We start from the raw sequence: 15,830 nt of genomic DNA, 5'->3' as shown, positions 1-15,830 counted from the left end.
CAGCTGCTTGTGTGTCTGCCCGCTGGGGTCTCAGGGTTTTTATAGGCACGTGATGGGGATGTAGCGGGCCAGGGTGGTCTTGGAAAATGCAACATTTGGGCACGAAAGCAGGAGTACCTGTCTTCACCTAGGTCCACGGGCACAGGCCCAAGGGTGGAGCCCTAGCCAGGGACCCGCCTTTCTCTTCCCTGACCGCCCCGCTCTTGTATCAGTGAGATCCAGCCAACTGCTTCACTGGTTTGTTTCCAGGATCAAATAAAAATATATGTGAAAATGCCTGCAAATGGAAGCTATTATTCAACGGTGTTTTAAAAAAATAATTTAATTAATTAATTAATTTATTTATTTTTGAGACAGGCTCTTGCTCTGTTACTTAGGCTGACGTGCAGTGGCATGATTACAGCTCTTTGGGCCTCAACCTCTCTGGGCTCAAGTGAGTCTCTCACCTCAGCTTCCCAAGTAGCTGGGACTACAGGTGTGCACCAGCACGCCTGGCTAATTTTTGTATTTTCAGTAGGGATGAGGTTTCACCATGTTGCCCAGGCTGGTCTTGAACTCCTGAGCTCAAATGATCTGCCTGCCTCAGCCTCCCAGAGTGCTGGGATTACAGGTGTGAGCCACCACACTCAGCCTTCAGTGGTGTTTACAGGAGCTGTGTCTATATAAGTCATGTGGATAGATTGAGAATCAAAAGGCCTGGCCTCCAGGTCACAGCCAATGGGAACATCTACCAAGTGGTAAAGGGAGCCCAGAGGAACCCTGCCTCAGATTAGGAGCCACATTGTGTGAGGGCCTGCAAATCTCATTTCTTATAGAATTGACCCCATATAGGGAGAGGTGACCCTCGTGGTTCTGGCTACTTTTTCTGGGCAGAGACAGCAGAGAGATGAACCTGCCGGTCATTTTGCCACTGAGGTTTCAGAGTGGAAACCCCTTCTCTCAAATCCTGCATGAGAAACCGAAGTAATCACCCTGTTCTTCCTGGGCCAAGAAAATATCACTGAGTAGCCCAAAGCTTGTGTTTCACACTTTTATTAATGACAGCCTAGGAAAAGAACAAGAAGTGAAAATGTGGTGAATGCTTCCTGCTACTGGGAGCTGGGGATGGAGACGCAGGAGGGAGGAAACAGGAAGCTGGAATATGAGGGTCCATGCAGGATGACGGTCACACAGTTCAGAAACTGACGAGAAAACACTGAAACACTTTTCAGTGAAATAGAGTCTAGAATGAAGAAGCCAGAGGGAAATAAGTTAGTTGGAGATGCTTCTCTCGTATTTTTGTCCAGAGCAGAGTGCCAGAAAGAAGAAAGATTAATTTGGGTAGTTTCTCCGAGATGAGGACCATGTAGGAATTTCTGACACAAGATCAGGGAGCTTCTGGAAGTGTTGTCTGGCCTGAATTGGAAACAATGCAGTACTGAGTTCATTAACTTTGCCCAACTAAAGAGGACAACACACCTGCGTTGGTAAATAACCACCTTTTTAGTGTGTGCCTCAGTTTCTAATATTTGCAGGGGCACTGCCCGGAAGATACTGAAGGAAAGAAGCTACAGAATGAAGGGGAAAGACCCAGATCTAAAGAGGTGCTCCTGGAGGAGGAGAAAACACAAAACTTTTCTTTTCTTCCAGGTCCCAAGAAGGTGGCGTGGGCTGAATGGGATCCACACAGACACGACCACCTCTTAATCCCTGAAAGCTGTGAATGGTATCTTATTTGGGGAAAGGGTCTAAAAGCCATCACTGGTAGCCTTTGAAGAGTAAGGCGGGGGGAGATTAGACAGACGCAAAGAAGGAGCCAGCGATGTGAAGATGGAGGCAAAACCTCCAAGGAATGCTGGAGTCACCAGAAGCTGGAAGAGACAAGGCAGGATTCTCCCCGAGAGCCTCTGGAGGGAATGTGGCCGTGCTCACACCTGGATTCTGGACTTCTGGCCTCCAGAACTGGGAGAAAATCACACTGATTTTGTTTAAAGCCACTAAGTTTATGGTAATTTATTACAGAAGCCACTGGAAACTAATACAGGTGGTCATGCGAAGAAGTTGCCCAGTGGCAGAAGCAACTCTGAATCTTACGACTTTTCTTAAGTCCAGGACTGGGTCCATTTATCAGACCAGGAAGGTGATGGTATTGTCTGGTGCTTGATCTGTGCAGAGGACAGTGCCGAGTCACAGAGGAGAAGGAGACCACACAGTGCATGCTCTGGATGGAGGTGCTTGCTGAAATCAGAAGCCAGTGGAAAGAGTTAAGTGCAACACTCCTAGGGATGAGGAAGCAGTAAAACTGTAGATGGATATCCAGGATCTCATCACACCCCTTGTGAGTTGGAAATTGAAGATCAGAGAGTTAAATGGCAGAGGAGTTGATGAGACCCTGGTTCAAACCCTAGTTCCACCACTTAGTTGCTATGTGACCTCTTCTCTCTGATTCCAGTTCCCTTGTCTGTAAAATGGAAATTGTAAAACCTATGTCACAAGCTTGTTGGCGTAAAGTTCACAGCACTTCACAGAGCACTTGGCTCCCTGGCAGGGCTTGAGAAGTGGCTATTGCTGTTATTGCCCAAGATTATAGGGCTGGTAAGACAAGCCTGTCTGCCTTGGGAACTGTGATCCTTCTAGATCCTGAGGCTGACTCATCATGCAGGGCTCAGACTATCTCTGAGAAGGTGCTCATTTCCACTGCCACACAACACTGGTTTGTACAGGAAATTACCTGCCATGTATAAACCCCTATTTTTCTGCATTCTCCTCCAGTCACAAGGGCTAGAAACCTGCAAACTACATTTCTCAGACTTCTCTGCTAGAGGGTTTCAGTTTAGATTATGCCTACGGCATGAGAGCAGGAGGCAGGTAGAGGGACTCTCATTCTGGCTGCAGCTCAGGGGCAAGTGACTTCACACAGGGATCAAACAGGTAAACTGCAGGCCTGATCTCCAGGCAGCAATACTACCCTCACTCCCATTTGTGTTCCTCCTTTCCTTATAACAACTTGGGAGCTTCACTCCTTATATTCAATCCCTCCTTGCTTGAAATACCTAGAGAGACTTTTATTTTCTTGAATGAATCTATAACCAATACATCAGTCCTCTGCAAAGCACAGAGGCCATGGCATAGAGATTTTAGGGGCTCTAGAAGGTCATCTTCACCAGAAAATACAATCTTACATTCTCAATTAGAGATAAGCCTTAACATGAAAATGTGCCGGGGATAGCTATCATATTTGCTCAGATACTTACAGGGGATCATTTGATTGTATCAGAGTCTGTCCTTAGAGAAGGTTTTCTGTGTCAAGGGGGAAGAAGGTACAGGGTGCTAAAAGCAACAGGGTAGGAGGAGGAAGCTGTAATACGAAACAGTAAAGAGAGAAAAGCCCTCAGCTTGAGGAAAAAGTATCAGTAGAGAAAAGTGCAGGCCTGCCCAGGCAGCTCTAACTATAATTTAACTTTTCTTTATGTTTTAAATTTTTGTAAAATATACGTAACATAGAATTTGTTATTTTCACCATTTTAAGTATATAGTTCAATAGCGTTATGCACATTCATATTGTACAACCATCACCACCATCCATCCCCAAAACTTTAACGTATTTCCAAACTGAAATTCTTCATCATTTATACAGTAACTCCTCATTTTCCCCTCCCCCTAGCCCCTGACAACCACCATTCCACTGTCTGTCTCTATGAATTTAATTAGTCTAGGAACATGATATTAGTGGAATCATACAGTATTTGTCCTTTTGCGTCTGGCTTATTTCACTTAGCGTAATGTCCTCCAGATTCATCCATATTGTAGTGTGTGTCAGAATTTCATTCCTTTTTAAGGCTGCATAATACTCCATTGTATATTTATACCATATTTTGTCTCTCTATTCTTTCATCGATGGACAGTTGAATTGCTTCCATCTTTTGGGTTATTGTGAATAATGCCACTATTGAGACGGAGCAGGGACCTCTCTTTGGGCCCTGCTGGCCACCGCCTCCTCAACCCCAAGGATGGAAATAAAGGAAAATCTTGAGTTTCTTCAAGAGAAATTCCAGGGACCTAGCTAGCCTTGTGAAGGGAATGAGCAACTTGATGTGCATGAAGGTTAATAATAAAACAGTTGCCACCCAAAAAGGTTAGAGCCACAAGCTGTTTGGTTCCTTATAGAAACTAACTATAATATTTTTTTTTTTTTTTTTTGAGTTGGAGTCTCGCTCTGTCGACCAGGCTGGAGTGCAGTGGCGCCATCTCGGCTCACTGCAAGCTCCGCCTCCCGGGTCACGCCATTCTCCTGCCTCAGCCTCCCGAGTAGCTGGGACTACAGGCACCCGCCACCATGCCCGGCTAATTTTTTGTATTTTTTAGTAGAGGCGGGGTTTCACCATGTTAGCCAGGATGGTCTCGATCTCCTGACCTTGTGATCTGCCCGCCTTGGCCTCCCGAAGTGCTGGGATTACAGGCGTGAGCCACCGTGCCCAGCCAACTCTAATATCTTGACATGTGTCCCCGAGTTGTTTTTCAGAAAGCCGGACCGCCAGATGGAAAATGCTGAGCACGGTCACATAGACCTCAGGTAAGAGGGCACTGAGGACTGAACTCTGAGTGCCACTTTTTTGTTCTAAATTTCTCCTTGGAGAGAACACGCCTGGAGAGTCATGCCCACAGGCCAAACCTCAACATTCCTTTCTGCTGACCCAAAGTTTTAGACAAGGCTTTATTTGCTTAACCAATTGAAATTCAAATAATCTCTGAATCTACCTATGACCTGTAAGCCCTCACATCAAGATAGCCTGCTTTCCTGGGCCAAACCAACACAGAACCATTGTGTATTTGATTTACAATTCTGCCTGTGACTTTTGCTTTTCTGAAATGTAGCCCTGTCTTTAAAAACCCTTGCTTGTAAGCTATGAGGGAGGTCAGGTCTTAAACATTCCCAATTCTCTCTGCATGGTGCCCTGCAAATGAATGCCCTCCTTCCTCTCTCTGCAAACCTCCATGTGGATGTTTGGCTCTACTGCACCAGGCAGGCAGATCCAGATTCTGTTTGGTAACACTATGATCATTAATGTACAATTATATTTTCAAGTCTCTGATTTCAATTCTTTTGGGTAGAAAAATTCTACATGAAAGTGGAATTGCTGAATCACATGGTAATTCTAGGTTTAATTGTTGAGGAACTATCATACTGCTTTCCATAGCACCTGTGCTATTTTACATTCCCGCCAGCAATGCACAAGGATTCCAATTTCTCCACATCCTCACCAACACGTGTTGTTTTCTGCTTTTTAAATAATAGCCATTCTAATGGGTGTGAAGTTGTATCTCATTGTAGTTTTGATTTGCATTTCCCTAATGATTAGTGACGTTGAACATCTTTTTATGTGCTTATTGGCCATTTATATATCTTCTTGGGAGAATGTAACTTGACTTTGTCCATGAATTAAAAAAAGAATAAAGAAATTTAAGTCTGTAAGAAAGGGAAAAAAGTGATTCCATTGGGGCCTCAGAAATTATGAAAAAAAGATTTGTAAAGAATGTGTGAGATCACATTCCTTACATAAATTGGGTAGGAACGAATGCAGATTGGGACTTCTCTGCCTAGTCAAATAAACTTATCAGAAGGCAGATTCCAATATAAACTCAAACAAGCAGTGAAATAAAATGCATTAAAGCACATGAATTTCTATTAAACACGACATAAAACCCTATAAAAATAAAACTCTCCTTATCATTCAAATTGCAATTTTATGCCTCTGGGCTTCAAATGATGGAAAGTTGCAGTTCAGGCTCACGGGATAAAAAGGAGGGCAAATGTGATGGGCACAGCAAGTCAGTTAAAAAAAATAAAAATAAAGAGAACTGCTTTCTGGCTTCTCTCTTTCACATCACACTGAAGGCCCACACAAGTGGTACTTGGAACTGTGCAGGAGAGAAGACTCTTTGGTGGAAGTAAGGAGGAGGATCACCTGCTCACGTTTGCTAAGGGCATTTGCTTGAAATGCGTGTGTGGGAGGGAGTCTGTCTTCAAACCTAGACACAAAAGAGATTTTATTTGCTTTCATGATTTCTTTTCTCTCCCTTCTCATATTTTTACTCCAAAGTGTGTGCAAATTATTCAAGCATCTGGGACCTAATGCACCATCACTCACTGCAGCTTTTATTAAACTTTGTGCCATTCACAACTGAATAGCAGTGAAGTTAATTAATGGCCAAATTAGTTGGAAGTTATTTGGAATCTATATTGCATCAATTTCTATGTTTTTGGCAAGAAGAATAGAAAAAAGAAAAAAAAATTGCACCAATGATAAGCAACTGAGTGGCTGACACATAACAGATGTTCCATATTATGAATGGATGGGTGAATGAATGAACAATTGAAATAATCTGGGTGACAGTTGATCAGAGCCTGAACTAAGCTGTGGCAAGGACCATGGGGAGAAGCAGAAATGCTGTAGACTTAGTTAGAAGGCAATAGAACAACCCCTGATGATGGACAGGAAGAGGAGAGTGAGCAAAGAGGAATTAATCTTAGCCCCTGCCATTTCTTCTCTAAATTATTACAATTGCTTCATAATTGCTCTCCTTGCATTCCACCTAGCTGCTGTCCACCAGACGATATAAGTAGGAGTCACCCTTAATTCATCCTTGTTCACTCTCCTCTTCCCATCCATTAGCAGGGGCTGTTATATTGCCTTCTAAGTCTACACTGTTTCTGCTCCTCACCATGCTCCTTGCCACAGCTTTCTGTTGGCCCTGATCAACTGTCACCGAATTATTTCAATGGCCTCCTCACTGTCTTCTTTTCTGACATTCTCTCTATATCTAATACATATGCTAAAATTTCTATTTTTGTTTTTTTATTTTTATTTTATTTTAAGACAGGATCTCACTCTATCGCCCAGACTGGAGTGCAGTGGCACAATCTCGGCTCATGGCAACCTCCACTTCCTCAGCTCAAGTGATTCTCCTGCCTCAGCCTCCCGAGTAGCTGGGATTGTAGGTGCACACCACCATGCCCATCTGATTTTTGTATTTTTAGTAAAGACAGGGTTTCACCATGTTGGCCAGGCTGGTCTCAAACTCCTGACTTCAAATAATCCACCCACCTTGGCTGCCCAAAGTTCTGGAATTATAGGCATGAGCCACTGTGCCTGGCCTAAAATTTCAATGCTAAAATTTCAATATGGTGGCCTTCCTTTACAAATTGAATGACATCAGGAATATCACTTCTAGAAGCCTATGTAACAGAAACAACAAGCATGACTACATGAAGAATATATGTCTAATGATGCTCATTGCATCATAATTTGTAGCTTAAGAATTGGAAACAAACCAAATATCTACCTATGAAAGAATGGTTAAATTGCCTATGAATGGAATATTATGTAACTATGACAAAGAATTAGGTAGGTCTATATGAACTAACATGGAAAGATATCTGTGTCATCTTTAAAAGAAAATTCGCAGACAGAGCAAAATGGCATTTCGTATAAAATGTACAGATAAATTGTGCAAGAAAGATTTAACACAAGAGGCCTGACTGCTATCCTCTGAAAGGTTCTTGGCTGGCATCTGGGAACTTGGAAGTTAGGAGAGTTCTTGCCATTACCAACTGGTAAGAGCGGCTCACTGCACCCAAACTGTTTATAGGAACCATGTGGTTTGTGCTGAACATCTGCTTTCCTGTGGCACAGTCTGAAATTTTGATATATACCTGTTAGAGGCGGCCTGTGTGACCAGCCCCCAGTAAAATGCTGAACATTGAGTTTCTAAGGAGCTTCCCTAGTAGACATTTCACACATGTCACAACTCCTTGCCTGGGGAATTAAACATGTTCCATGCGAATCCACTGGGCAAGGACCCTTGGAAGCTTGTGCCTGGTTTCTCCCAGCCTTTGCCCCACGCACTTTTTCCCTTTGTTGATCTCACTCTATATCCTTTCACTGTAATAAATCTTACCAGGAGTAAAACTATATGCTGAGTCTTTGAGTCCTTCTAGCAAATCAGAGAACCTGGCAGTGATCTTGGGGACCCCCAACACATGAACACATGGCTTTATTTATACACATGCACAGGAAATCTTCTGGAACCGTTGAGGATGTTTAATTCTCAGTAGTGGGTTGAAATGCCCACTTTACCTCTTGCTATATAATGTTTTTAAAACTATGAGAATTTGACTGATTTTGAGTTTTGCGTGTCTTCGGTGATTTACCATGATGTCATGATTGCTCACATGTGTGTCCCTGTATCATGATGCGTCTCTTGGTCCTGTCTCAGTTTTTGGAACATCTCCAGTGACTGGCATTAGGCCTAGCACATGGTAGGTGAAAGAAATGATGGTACTAATTGAATTTGAAGGAAAAGCAAGTAGATGGACATAGAGATAATTTAGAAATAACCTCAAAGGCAGTACTGACATGTAGAATCTCCTTTCTTTTGATGTTTCAGCTTTTCAAGACTTTTGATTTTCCAGCTAATTTCAAGCCTTTCCAGTTTTTATGCCCATTTGGAAGAGGGGAAAGGTAAAAATAAAGAACAAAAAGAAGAGGTGAGAGATAGATGAAGCTAGAAAAATAACTACAATTTAAACTTCACCTCTCTTCAACCCAGCCAGAGGCAAGCAGCTGGTCATTTCATTCGACATAGTTTATCCTAAAGAGGACGGCATGCCTTCCTCCTCAAACTACTCTCTGTTGGCAGCATGACTGCTGTATCAAAGGAGGACATTGTCTGTGTGGTAGGTAGGGTATGAAACAAATGTGGAAAACTGTTCCATTTTCTTCCTTTTGAATGTACTGTTCTGTAAGACTGATTAATTACATGGTTAACTATAGGGTACCATTATGTAAATATAAATGAAGTCAAGTGTTTATTCATTGCCTCAGGTTATAATTGAGACTGTTAGTTTTAAGAATTTCAGCTGGTACATAAAAGGAAACCATCATAGATTCAAATTCTGGTGCCAGATTCTGAAGACTTAGAGTATAGATTTTGAGGAAATATGCAGAAATACTCAACTAATGAGTGGAACGATGGGTCCAAGACACTTTGAGTTTTAAACTCTGTCTTAACTTGGAGTCTATAATTCAAGCTGGCATTGAGCCAGCATTTTCTAAATTTCTTCTTGCTTAATCATAGATTAACCATATATAATATAGACAATTACAAATTGAGATGGCACAGAATTCTTTACCTCGCATATGTGTATGAATTTTGTATCTCCATGTTGCAACCAATCTGTGAAATATTCTAACTTGAAAATGAATACATTCAAGTGGTCAGGCTGGCCTTACCCAGGTTCTAAGAATAATTTAGAGGTATCCAAAACCATAATTTAAAAACCATTAAATTCCTACTGCTGCCATGGGCTTCCAGCCATAGCCTTGAATAGGTTTTTAATCCTTGTGAAAGATCAGAACCTGTTTTGCATGCTGAAGCTTTGTAAAAAGGTGAATCCATCTAGTCCAGTTATAGAAAGTCAGAATTTCCTTGACATTTTCATTGCTAATAGCCATTTTTCAAAATAAATTCACACTTCAGTTAGTTCTTGTTGGTCATAAATGGTTGTCAGAACTTGCCCAGGGTTCATCTAGATATTCCCTTGAGATATTCTTATTATCAAGTGGACCTATTTCTTCTATGTGCCATAATATATAAACCACATGTGGGCAAATACAACATCTTTAAAAAGGAGTGTGGGGGAGGAGAGGAGTTACCTGTGCAGATTTATGGGCAGTTTTCCTCTGTCTTTTACGCAGGTTTAATTGATTAATGAGAAACAAAAGCTTAAAGTCAAATACCTGGATTTAGAATTCAATGCAATGCAATGGAGCAATTATTTGAATAAAGCCCAGTAGGCAGCGAGTCATGTCTGTACTTTGGGGAGGATCATTGCAGGCAGAGCAAACAGTGCAGAGGCCCTGTGGTTGAAATGTAATGAGCTAGAGAAGAGTAGCAGAAGAGGAGTTCAGAGAGGTTCCAGAGGGCCAGATCTTACAGGGCCTTGTAGCCAATTGTTCATTGTAAAGACTTGACTTTACTCCACCAAGTTGCAAAGCCATTGATGGGAGGGTTTTAAACAGAGGAGTGGCATGATCTGATTTAATTTTGGCAGCATCAATTTACTGCATTGATTAGACCACAGAGCAGCAAATGTGGAGCAAGAAGGGAGATGTTGGAAGCTGTTGAAAGAGAAGATAGTGTTTTGGACCAAGTTGGAAGCAGTGGAGGTGGTGAGAAATGGTCAGACTCTGGATGTGATTTGAAGGACCAACTCTGAGGTTTTGCTGGCCCGTGGAATGTGGGGTGGGAGAGGAGTGAAGGGTAATGCCAAGGTTTTTCATCATGAGCAACTGGAAGAATGCAGCTGATGTGCTGAGTTTTATCTAATTTCTTCTTTCAGTAAACTTCTCAGCTATTAGTTTTCTGGGAGTCATGAAGATACAGCTTCAGTGAACCAATATGCAGGCAGGGTCTTTCTCAGTCACAGGGCAATTTCAAAAGTGTGCCATGGCATGTGTATACCTACGTAACAAACCTGCGCATTCTGCACATGTACCCCAGAACTTAAAGTATTAAAAAAAAAAAAGTGTCCCTGGGGTCTGGCCCTGGGCACATCTAAGCTGAAATCAGTATGAGCCTGGGCAAATTGGTGCGCCCAAGGCACAGGGTGAGGGGGGCAAAGGCTGGGGCGTGGGGCCCTAGGAGTCTGTCTGAGGAACTGAAGCGTTTCCCAGAAGAGAACTTTCCCCAAGGGAAAAGAGAGTAAGAGTCACCAGACTGATGACTACTTAGTCATTAGTAACAGAAGGGGTGGGGAACTTGCTGAGTCGGCACAGGCAGCTCCTGGCCCCTGGGTTTGTCCCCAGCCCAGAGCTCCACTGACTTTTGTCTGGGTCCCAGGGAGGAAGAATGATGTGAATAACACCTGAAAGAGAGCAGTGTTCTTTAAAATCTCTATAGGGCCCCCGCCCTGAGCAGAACCTAGCCATGGCACTGCGTGGGAGTCCCAGTGCCTGTACCTCATCCTCTCCTGCCACCCTATTGGGGGCTTCCGGGTTTGCACAGAGAAGGACAGGGCTGGGGAGAAGAAAAACAGGTTGGACAGAGTTCCTTTGTGAGGAAATGCAGGACAGTTGCTGGAAACTCCCAGAAATGCCTGGTGGGAACCACGCCTGCTGCAGGGGCTGTGTAGGTCTCCCATTAAACAGTGGCTTCCGGAGAACCTGTCATCCCATCAGACCTTGGAATAGGATTGGCAGCCCATGCCCAGCTGGGACAGCCCCAAGTATGGCCAGGGTGACAAGTGCTATATGCTAAATTTGGGACAAAAACAACAGTGGAGATCCACATCAAAGGTGGGAGACTTCAAAGGGTTAAAACATTGAGATGAGAGTTTTTCAACTTTTTTTTAAGTTTAACTCTATTCAATTTTTTATTTTATTTTATTTTTTTATGGAGTCTCGCTCTGTCACCAGGCTGCAGTGCAGTGGCACGATCTCGGCTCACTGCAACCTTTACCTCCCAGGTTCAAGCAATTCTTCTGCCTCAGCCTCCCGAGTAGCTGGGACTACAGGTGCGTGCCACCACGCCTGGCTAATTTTTTGGATTTTTAGTGGAGACGGGATTCACCATGTTGGCCAGGATGGTCTTGATCACTTGACCTCGTGATCCGCCTGCCTCAGCCTCCGAAAGTGCTGGAATTATAGGCGTGAGCCACCGTGCCTGGCCCACTCTATTAGAATTTTTAAAAATTTGTTTACCCCTTGAGTGAGAATTAAGTTGCAAAGTGAGAGCAGCTATCATGTCAGGAGGAGAGGAGTAGGAGGGTGGTCTCAGAGGACGTTTTTGCCTGGACTTGAAGCACACATAGTCTCTGCTCTGGTCCTAGCAGCCACTGAGCACAGTGACCCTCAGGATGCATGGCGTTGATGTTACGCATAAAGGCAGGTGTGGAAACTTAGTGGGCAGGGCTCCTGCTCCCTCTAACCTCCAAAATGTTTCTGCCAGCTTCCAGGATCCTTAAATAATTTCCATGGAGTATAGTGGTTTCCTTCTACAAATAGGAAAGAGGTGTAGGGGTTTAAGATGGTACCAGAACTCATCGGTGTACAGGTGTAATAATAGGTATTGGAATGATGAGTGAAAGGGACAGGTATCACACACAAATTGGGGCTGGCCAGTCTTAATCCCAGCTTCACTCCCCAAAGTCTGTAGATCTTAGGCCAATTATTCAACCCAGTACAGTGGAGCTCCACCTTGACCATACATGAAATGCACCTGGGGAAACGTTAAAAATCCCTGTGCCTGAACCTCATCTCAGCTCAACCAAATCAGAATATGTGGGAGTGGGATCAGGGATCAGTATGTTTCTAAAGCCCTCCAGGTGTTTCCAATATTCAGCCCCTGTTAGGAGCTGCATTTATTCTTAGGCTCTACCCCCATGCAACTAAAACAGCCTCTATGGGGCAGGCCTGGGAGTCCACATTTTAAAAAACTCCTTGGGTGATTATAAAGTACAGCGAGGGCTGACAGTCATAGACTCTCATTAGTAATGAGACAACCATGTCTAACTCATTAGGTTGTTGTCAGAATTAAATGAAGTCATACATGTAATGCATTAAGCGTAGTGCTTGGTTCTCAATAAGCATTTAATAATGGTATTTTGAAAAATTACCATTATTGTTGCTATTGTAAGATATCACAAGGAAAGAAAAGGATGCATAGAAGTAGATTGGAGGTCATGAACACAAACTTAGAGTCATTCTAGGTTGCCCAAATCTAGCTCCACCAACTTCTGTGTTAGGCTGAGTGTGGCGCCTGTGGGAGCCCAGAGTCCCTGACTTGGTGGTTTGCCTAAAATCATCTCAGTCCCTATTCTGCCACCCTCTGTGGCCTGGCTCAGGAAGAGGAGGTCAGGGAGGGGAGCAGGTGGCCTAGGGTCCAGCACAGGGATGGGAAGTCTGAAAAGAGAAAGGCAACCAGACTATTCATTATTTGGCTTTGCAAATCTACCTCTACACTGGCCGCTGGGCACTGCAGTGGAATTAAATTAGAGAAAACAGTTCATTTGTAAAAGGCTGAAGTGCCTGTGACAAGCAGGCTCTGCTGAGTGCTATAAAGTGACTCTTGAATGGGATTTATAAAAGGACAAGAGAACCCAGGTCACCTGGGAGATAATGGGTCCGCGGGGACCTCTTTCCTCCCCAAGGGAAAGGCAAAATCACAGCTCTGGATCTCGTTTCCTTGACCCTCTTGAAACTCGGCATGCTGCTTTTCTAAATCTGTTTCCTCCTTGAAATTGGACAGGGCTGCCACCTACCACCTATTTTGTTTGGACAACATATATAACCTCTCTGGACCTCAGGTAGCTCAACTAAAAACTGGACTCATCATACATACTTGGAAGTTTACATTCTGAACAAGAAATTCATTCAATGATTGAATTAAATTCAGTGAAATGAGAGCGTGTATGTCATGTAACACCCATCTCATGATGAAAACTCCTGAAGCGCTATCCTTCTGCTGGATCTGGACTTTTCTTCAACAGAATAGTCTCTTGCTTTGACATCAGAAGGGATCTTCAGTGGGGAGCAAGGGAAGTGCAGTTCGCTTGATTAAAAGCCGCTCATAGGGAAGGAACTGGTTTGTCCTGCTCTGTCTGGTGGCTCCCTATAAACAAAGCCTTTCTACGGTGAAGACACCATGTTGGTCTCAAGAACTGAGTTCAATAAGGACATGGCTGAAATTGCAGTAAGGGGGGACAAAAGCTGCTGCCGTCTGAAAGGCCCATCAGACCCCATCCACCCCAACCCTGTATGCCCAGGAAGACGTTCCTTTAATGACTGCTCACTAGGCGATTACTAGGAATTAATTCAGTAGAGAAGATAATCAATAGATGGCCCACTGAGTGTGGTCCATTAAAGCAGAACTGCTCTTCTCTTCAGGTGTGATAAATAGTGCATTTAAAGTGTTCGATACCATAATAAAGGTCGTAATTAAGTGAGGCAACTTGGCATCTTAATAACTGCATGCTTGTAAAGATTTAAACTTCAGACCCAGACACAGAGTAACATTCATAATCCCTCGAATGGGTTTCCTTTCTAGAAGAGAGAAATTAATGTCTGACTCTTCTCCTGAGAAGCTGACAAGGCAGATCTGTCCCCAGATCTTTATGGAGTTAAGAGTAAGAGGTGACTTTGAGCACCTGCCACTGAGTCTTTAGTTCTCGTGTTTCCTTGCTAGCTTAATTATTACCGTATTCCTAGTGGAAAGAAGAAGGCAGGAGCAGGAGCAAAAAGAGAGGCCTGGGGGAATGCAGTTCAGGGAGCCGGTAGCCCCAGCAGTGTGCAAATCACTTAGCCAATATACAAATGACTTTGCAGAAGTACAGTGAGGCTTCCCAGACCAAATCATCTCCATTTGTTTCTTATTATTAAAAGGGAAGCACTTTCTGCCATCACTGGTTCTTTCGCCCTCCCCTATCCTTTGCACAATTTACATACACATACACAGACAACATGCACACACACTTAAAATTCAATGTTTTCCTTTCCCTGTAGACTTTTAGTAAATTAAAAAAAAAAACAAAACCATAAACTTCAGATATCTTATAATTACAAATCTTCCATTCAGCAGTTTGCAAAACAGATGCATTTTGTTAATTTTCATCCCATCTGGATGACATGTAGAAGTTGCTGGACATTTGAAAATGGATGTTGACATCGTCAAACATCCCCCAAGACTTAGGATTGTGAGCCTAAGGAAAGACTCAGCAAAGGAAAGAAAGAAAATGTGTTCATTCTAACAGGTCTTTGTTTAAGTGCACACTACTTTTGATCATAATCTGTGGACAATGTTTACGGAAAAATCATATGCTAATCAAATGGTTTAGTCCTGGGAAACTTTAAAGCCCTATAGACAAGCAAAGAGCCTGCCCAAGTACAACTGAACTCTCTCTCTGCCACCCAGCCCCAATTCAATCACAATGCTAGTGTGACCTCCAATTGCTGATATTCCAAATTCTGAATATTATATTTAGAGATCTCTAGTGGAGATCACAGATTTCAAAAGAGTGAAACAAAATGTGGAGACCATAAGGAACATTGTAAAGCTTAATACTGTTACCAAAGTTCAGCTTCGTATTAGGTGAAAATATCATATAGGGCTCGGTTCTTCTCTGTCTGTGAGGCAAACAGGGCTGCCCCAAGATGCAGGGGAAAGCAGAGCTTTCTTGCAGCTTCTCCTTCTCTGAGTTGAGCCTGGAAGAGGAAATTTTAAGTGTAACTAAGGGGGAATGGGCCAGCCCTGCTTACACATGGCAGTGGTAAACAGAGTAAGCTCTGCACTTTACATAAATGCTCAAATCCTGCACTTTTATATAAAATGTATTGACTGACCAGCATATATTGGACACTTAACTATTTAGAATTTTTTAAAAAAGAAAAACCAAAAAAAGATGCTTCTGGCAGGGCTGCCTTTATGCAAAGTATTAAAAGTGACTCATCTGGATTATGGCTTTTTCTAACCCCACCCTTCCGTGTTTGCCTTTCCTTTTGCTGAGCAAAACTTTATGCCAGGCAGGGCTCACTGCTAGTGAGGGGAATTTGGGCACGGTTCCAGGCCCCACTTGTTCCCTTGTCTTGAGCATCCTTGCAGTGATCCTTACAGTGATTTGGACTTGCCAGAGTTGCATCGGGATTGGCAGGAGAGTGCCCAGGGCTGCAGCGATGCATGTGGAGCACTGTGAGTGGAACTGGAGTTGGTCTGGCAGGCCTGGTTCAAAGTGCAGAGGTGAGAGGCAGCATCAAAATCATGTAGGAATCCCCTAAGCATTGACATACGTTGTCCCA

General features: G+C 43.3%; 5 annotated features.

The window, feature by feature from the left end:
* Nucleotides 1-162: a silencer, noted in NCBI's record as "fragment chr3:107722923-107723084 (GRCh37/hg19 assembly coordinates)". NCBI's record gives its function as "represses an EF-1alpha promoter that drives an FKBP-Casp9 reporter gene in an ReSE screen in K562 erythroleukemia cells {active_cell/tissue: K562}" and the evidence as "EXISTENCE:reporter gene assay evidence [ECO:0000049][PMID:32094911]".
* Nucleotides 3,560-4,796: a biological region, named in NCBI's record as "Sharpr-MPRA regulatory region 1116".
* Nucleotides 3,860-4,635: an enhancer, noted in NCBI's record as "NANOG-H3K27ac-H3K4me1 hESC enhancer chr3:107718450-107719225 (GRCh37/hg19 assembly coordinates)". NCBI's record gives its function as "activates a minimal SCP1, AML or CMV promoter by ChIP-STARR-seq in primed H9 embryonic stem cells {active_cell/tissue: H9 hESC(primed)}" and the evidence as "EXISTENCE:reporter gene assay evidence [ECO:0000049][PMID:30033119]".
* Nucleotides 4,502-4,796: an enhancer, noted in NCBI's record as "tiled region #1116; HepG2 Activating non-DNase unmatched - State 24:Quies". NCBI's record gives its function as "activates a minimal TATA promoter and a strong SV40 promoter by Sharpr-MPRA in HepG2 cells {active_cell/tissue: HepG2}" and the evidence as "EXISTENCE:reporter gene assay evidence [ECO:0000049][PMID:27701403]".
* Nucleotides 4,502-4,796: a silencer, noted in NCBI's record as "tiled region #1116; K562 Repressive non-DNase unmatched - State 24:Quies". NCBI's record gives its function as "represses a minimal TATA promoter and a strong SV40 promoter by Sharpr-MPRA in K562 cells {active_cell/tissue: K562}" and the evidence as "EXISTENCE:reporter gene assay evidence [ECO:0000049][PMID:27701403]".

This window comes from Homo sapiens, chromosome 3 (assembly GCF_000001405.40).
Source record: "Homo sapiens chromosome 3, GRCh38.p14 Primary Assembly".
Lineage (NCBI taxonomy): Eukaryota > Metazoa > Chordata > Mammalia > Primates > Hominidae > Homo > Homo sapiens.
Note: the sequence above shows the minus strand (reverse complement) of the source record. Positions and strands in the feature narration are given on the sequence as shown.